This window comes from Homo sapiens, chromosome 2 (assembly GCF_000001405.40).
Source record: "Homo sapiens chromosome 2, GRCh38.p14 Primary Assembly".
Lineage (NCBI taxonomy): Eukaryota > Metazoa > Chordata > Mammalia > Primates > Hominidae > Homo > Homo sapiens.
The window spans coordinates 35446037-35453276 of record NC_000002.12 but is presented as its reverse complement, the minus strand read 5'-3'; positions in this window follow the sequence as shown (position 1 = coordinate 35453276).

Below are 7240 nucleotides of genomic sequence, written 5' to 3'. Positions count from 1 at the left end.
ATAAATTGAGAGATTAGACTATTGTGATCCTAGTTCTATGAAGAGCATTTCCTACTAGATCTTCTATATCTCATCCCTGAGGGGTTGCAAAGCCATGAAAATCAAAGTTAAAGTTGATTGGACTGAAAAATGCCCACAGGGCAAATGTTCCTTCACTGCTACACTTATTTCTCTAGATTCTAACTTTCACTGAGTATTTTGCCCCTGAAAATGCTTCTTTTCTTGACAGTTTCATGATATATTTTTTAAAAATAGATAAAAATGTATTCAATACTTCTAGTTGTTGTATTCAAGACATTCGGTATAGCCAGTCTTCTAAATTATCAGAAGAGCATGTCTAATTATCTGTTGTTAGAATATTAATTTAGTTTTTATTATAGATGTTACTAAATCTTTGTGCTCATCTTTAAATAGATATATAGGAATAATCCAGTAAGTAAAATTGATTAGTCAAATAGCATGCACATGGTTAAGACCTTTAATTATGTACTGACATATTGAGCATCAGTAAATTTTACTATCATACAGGGCCAGAAAAACAGGATAAGAGACTAGATATAATTCCACCATTTTACTTTTGAAACATGGAAAACGAAATGGTACATTTATTTTATGTAATACTAGACAACATTGATGAGGATGAATTAGATTTAAATGCGCTACCTGATATGGAAAATATCTAATGTGTATTGTTAAATGCAAAACACTACAGTGTATATATTTCATTGCTCTATTTTGCAGTTCTTTATTAGTACAGAATAATTAGCCATTTTTTTGTGCAATGACTTTTCATATCCTCTTATTTTTTATCATTATGTAGAATATTTTTGAATTTGAAATATTGTATATTTTAAGAGTACTTGATTTTTGCCATATACTTAAATAACATCTCAGTTATCATTGAGGTTTTAGTTTTACGTCATTCCTGATATAAAGAAATTTTAAATATTAAAGTTTAAATGTTAAACATTTATTTTTTACTCTCTATATCCTTCTTTTGGCAATACACTTAAAATATTTTTCTTCTTACAAGTTTTTGTTATTTTCCACATGTTTTTATTATAATACTTTATTCCATTTTTACCCATAGAAATTTAATTAATCTGGTTGGGTTTTGGTACAAAGAATAAAATGGTAAGTCTGACCCAAACCAATTATTTAAAAAGTCTTTATCTCTCCACTTATATGAAATATGTTAAGATAATTTATTTTATAATAATCTTCTATAGCACATGAATATTGTTTATATAGTGGTTTTGTTTAAAAAGAATACTGTGATATTTTTGCTTCTAAAGTGCAACTGAGTCAATGAAGTTGCACTGATATCTTGACCATTTAGATGACTGTTGGTGAAAATTTTTATGTATATAAATTCATTCTTTTTTTTTAACACCTATATTGTGTTTTTCTTTGAATCCAGCAAGATATCTCATAATAAAATCTGTGTTTTATTGGGAGTTCCTTCAGATGCTATTGGCAAAAACCTAATTTCAAATAACATAGTAAATGAAAAAAATTAAAGCAGTGAGAAAAAGAAAGTTTTACCAAATTATGGAAAGGTATTGTACTGAACCAGATGGCACCCTCTAAAAACATATGTTCATATCCTAATCCTTGGATTCCAAGTAAGGAATGCTGCCTGACTTTGGAAAAAACAAAAAACAAACAAACAAAATAAAACCCCAAACAGAACAACAACAACAAAAAAACCAGAAAAGTCTTTTCCAATGTGATTAAGTTAAGGATTCTGAGAGGGGTAGCTTATTCTGGATTATCTTATGTAGGGGGGTCCCTAAATACAATCACATATACCTTTATGAAAGACAAAGAAAGAGAGAGGGAGAGAGATCTTAACAAGTCATCATCGCCTTGAGATAAGATACCATGACTGGTTTAACATGAGTTACATAACTATTCCTTTGAACAGAGAAGCAGCAGCTGTGACTATCAGACACTGATAATACCACCTGAATAGTTCACAAAAAAGGGAGAAGCTTTTCTGAACAGATAAAATAAAATAAATAAATAAAAGTTTACTCTAGCTCATTCCTTTATTCTGTACACACACATACACCCCCTACACGCACACCCCTGCAGTGATAACTTCAACGCCTGCAAAACGCTAGGCTTCCCTTTCAAGATCACTCTTTTTGTGTCACTTACGTCCTTTTCAACCAGAAATCAGCACCAAATTTCTATAGCCAATGGGTCAGTCTGATTCAATATATGGCCTACATTGTAGATAATGAAGACGAAAAGGGTGGTCTATTTTAATAGCAGCCCTGCTATTACCTACTTATGGGCAATGAGAAACCTATCTCAATAAAAAATAAAATAAAATCTCAAGGTCTGTAGGTATAAAACAAAAATACATAGTTGAAGACGAGGTCAGTCATTACTGTCAGTTACATTAAGTGGCCTGCCTGATGTTACTTAATTATGATGTGAAGAAAATATAATATTAGAGAAGTAATAAATATTTAATATGTATAATCTATTATTAAGCAGAAACAAACACATGTATTATATGAGGATGGAATGGATTACACTATTAACCGTCAAATAAAATTTTCCCTCTGATTTTGCTGCCTAGCAGCACAGTTTACATTCCAAAGATGAACTAGTCAAAAATGGATACATTTCATGCATCACATAAACTATAGTCATGATGTCAGAGATCTAGAGAAAAGTCATATGACATTCTGAGATACACTTAGCAGATGAGAGAAATGATATACTAAAGGCATCAATTGCATAGTAAGTTGTGGGTGAAGCAGCATAAAACATTAGCTTGGAATTTGATGTGCCAAAAATACAAAATTAAATGTAATAATAAATAAATCTGAGAGCCATTACATCTCAAAAGCAATCCTCATATTTTCAACAGGAGAAATGATAGATCAGCTTGTGACTTCTTTAGGAAGAAATAACAAGATTTTTGAATTCTCTGACCTGACAGATCAGCAAATAGCAGGGGAGAAAATAAAAACATGCAAAGCTAGGAGGTGATTAAAGGAAATTACTTTTTATGATTAAAAATTAACTTTTAGCTACATTTAACAGATGTTTATTTCCAGAAAAATCATGCCCACACACATAAAATGAAGTAACTGCCTGAGACTAGAATTATGAAAATTGTGTTTTGTCCACTTAATTTTAAACATTAATGTTAAATTAAATGTTAAATGTTAAATTAAAATTAATTTAAACATTAATTTTAAACATGATGTGGCATATAGAATTATACAAAAAGTGGGTACCTACAGTTTTAGGTCTCTGTGTCTAGAACAATGTCTAGCACTTACATTTTTTTCAGTGAAATTTACTGCTGAATTTCTTAGGGACAAATAGAAGGTCGAACTATTTGGCTTGCCTACATCCTTCATCCACAGTCTGTGACAGCACAGATAGATGGCTCCGCTTACACAATGTCAAACAGTCAGATTTAAGCTAAATATATTCAATCCATCTGTTGGGTATTTTCAAATATCAAAATGTAGGGTTTTAGTAAACTAAACACTCAATTAATGGAATGACTCACTTTTTATCTAGTTCAGTTATTTGACATTGTATAAATCAAGAGTTGGCAAACTATGACCCACAGGTGAACTATAGCCCACAGGTCAAATCTGGCCTGCTGCTTGTTTTGGTAAATAAAGTTTCACTGGAACCCAAACATACTCATTCACTTATGCATTGTCTATTGCTGCTTTCAGTATAATTTGGCAGTTTCAACAGAAACTATAGTCCACAAAGCCTGAAAAACTTACTGTCTGTCCTTTTACAGAAAAAGTTGTTAACCCCTGGTCTATATCTAGTCAACTGTAAATATTTGGTTGGAATCTCATTAGAGATAAAAAAACGCTAAAAGTTAGCATATATGTCCTACATTAAAATTTGAAATTCCACCACCACTGGAGCACATGTAGGGTAATGGTAACCAAAACAGTTATAAAAGACAATTCAGGGCCCGATGTGTTGCTAATGAAAAAAGAAAAGTTTTATTTAGGAAAACACTTCAAATTAAATATTGAAACCTCAGAGACATGGAAGCCGTTCGGGTCAGGTATGACATCATAGCTAAAAGATTAAAAAGAGATAAAAGTTTTTTTCTTGTGATTAAGAAGTGGTTTGGGAATGCTTAACTATCTAAAATCACAGGTAAGAAGGAGACTATTAATTCTGCCTTTTCATACTACCTCACTCCCTCGTCTGCATCAGAGTAAATGATTGGTATGACAGTATGGACATTCTGGTTGATCCACGTTATTTTAGACAATTCAATCACAAAATTACAGTGATCAGGTAGTAATCTAATTGATTGTTCATTGATCTGCAATAATAGTTTAAATAAAGAAGCAGATTGACCAGAACGTGATTGATTTCTTTTGATCATGTCCACAGAGGCAGCTATAATCTCTTTAGCAGTTGTTTAAGCATAATTCACAGAATTACCCGCCTAAAGGATTTATGCAAATGTGCTAAAACTGTTCTACAATTTCAACTTCCAAAATATATCAAAGAGGAAAAAAAAGACAGATTTCTTCTATTTATTTATATATTTATTTTTGAAATGGAGCCTTGCTTTGTCACCCTGGCTGGAGTGCAGTGGTGCAATCTCGGCTCACTGCAACCTTCACTTCCCAGGTTCAAGCAATTCTGCTGCCTCAGCCTCTCGAGTAGCTAGAATTACAGGCACCTGCCACCACACTTGGCTAATTTTTATATTTTTGGTAGAGACAGGGTTTCACCACATTGGCCAGGCTGGTCTTGACCTCAAGTGATCTGCCCACCTCGGCCTCCCAAAGTGCTAGGATTACAGGCGTGAGGCACCACGCCTGGCCACAAAGACAAATTTCTAGCAAATAACACATTGAAAAATAAATTTCAAAGGCTTATGCCATATTTTTAAGTGTAAATAGTGGAATAAAAATTGCATTTAAGTAATTATTATAGCTGTGGGTATGACTGTGTGTGTGTGTGTGCCTTTGGACAATATTTTGACATTTTTCTAATACTGTATGGGGAATGACAAATAAAACCTTGTTGTGATAGAAAGCATAGGACTTAGAGTTAAGAAAAAATAAAGAACAAACAAACTTGGGTTAAAATTTCTGTCCCATCCTGATGGAGTGACTTTTCAAAGTGTCACAAATATGGTGTTGGCTCACCTCCTTTTTAGGCTTATCCTTCCCTCTGACCCCCCATGGAAGGAAGGTTAGCAGGTGTCAGCTGTCAACCTCTCAAGAAATTCCCCTTGGCTAAAGGCAGCTGTCTCTGTCAAAGTCACACCCTCTTCCCAGGACAGCCCTCACCCACTGGCAAGTCAGTAAGTTGTGCAAAAGACTGGACCTCATGTCCCAACTTGAGACAATTCTGAAGGACTATCCTGGCTTCAGAATTCCATGTAAGGTTGTCTGAAGCCTTATTGTGCCTACTCCACAACACAAATTATCCCCCTGTCCAATCTTGATTCTTTTCCTTCCCCAAAGTATTAATTTCAAGAGCACTCCTGAATTAACTTTCAGCATGGTAATCTCCATTTCAGAATCCTGCTTCCTGTAAGAGTCAGTACTAGGTGTAGTCTGAGAAAGCACATGAGATTTTGGAGCCAGAGCACCCAAATGCTGCTGGAAATGAAGAAACTGGTGGTAGGTGGAGAATCTATAGCCGTTAGCACAAATTAGCTGGTAAATGTGCCCTGGTTGATACAGAGTGACTGATACAAAGTTATCATGTGACCAGAACTACCCACCATACAGCTTGTTTGGTAACCTACCAAGTCATGAAATCAAAGAGGATTAGCAGAAATCTGTTGTGAAGCGGAAGTTGTGCATTTGGGATTGAGTATTAGCAGAAGCAGAAACCACAAAGTAGTTACATAAGCATGTTACCCAGACTCCTTGCCATACACTCTGTGGATTCAGCATCTCTCCCTTTGCTCGCTTTTGTGGTCAGACGGTTGCTCTCATATGACAAAATGATAAAGGAAAACAAAAAAGACCATGTTTATTTCACTGATCAGAGTGCTTAGCGTAAGTCACCAAAAGCTGAAAATGGATCACAGCTGGTGATCCACTTTGGATTCAAATAGAAATGGCCTGACATTAGTATATATATAGATGCATGAGCATTGGTAAATGGTTTAAGGAATGGCCAGAAGCTGAAAAGTGAAAAATAAATGGCTTGGTAACTTCATCAGAGACCTAAAAGAGAAAAAGTGGAACACTGGTGAGGAAGTCTTGAATAGTTGCATGTGGATGGGCCTACAGGAATGGGTACAAAGTGTAAAAATCTTTGTATTGAATGTCAATGCTTGCTAGTGATTATTCACCATGGACAAGGGACTAAATAGCCAAACAGAGAATGCCTTGGCTATTTGACATCAACCAGCCTCTGTTATTCCTCCCTCCCCCAGTTCTGGCACAATGAATAAGTGAACAGAATAGTGATGGCGGCAGAGATGGGCTCAACAGTATCGATTCCCACTTAGCAATCTGGTACAGATACTACAATTGATGAATATCCATCCTATTAGCTACAAAGTCTAAACCTAACCTCTAGATGTAGTCCTGTCACTCAAAGGGACCAATTATCCCCTTTGAAGCAGGTTTACTTCATTAATTTGCTTCATTCTAGAAGGGACAGTGGTTTATTTTGATGAGAATTGATATATATTTCAGGTATAGGTTTTTAGTTCCTGCTTAAAGGCCTCAGCTAGGACCATTAACCAGGGACTTACAAGTATTAGATACAATTATATGGCATATTCAAATAATATTATATGTACATTTTATAGCAAATAAGATATGCAGTGACCACATCATAATGGAATCCTATTGTTTTATCACATATTATATGGTCCAAGAGCGGCTAATCTGTAACAACAATGCGAAGACAGGTCTCAGTTCAGAAACAATATCCTGTAAAGACGAGGCAAAATCCTCTTGACAGCGCCTAAACACTGTATCAATGACCATTATATTGTGCTGCTTTCATAATAGGTAGAATTTGTAGTTCAGTGAAGAGGGGCCCTGGTTGCTCACTGTAAGTGACTCTTTTGGAGAAATGGGTTTTTCTGTCCCTACAGCTCTAGGTTATCTGGGCTTAAAAGTTATGATTTACAAAGAAAAAACACTTTCACCAGGAGACTTAGTAAGAGTCAAATTGAACTTTAAACTATTAATACATTTCCACCTGGGTGTTTTGAGTCCTTATAATCTAGGACAATGATGCAAGA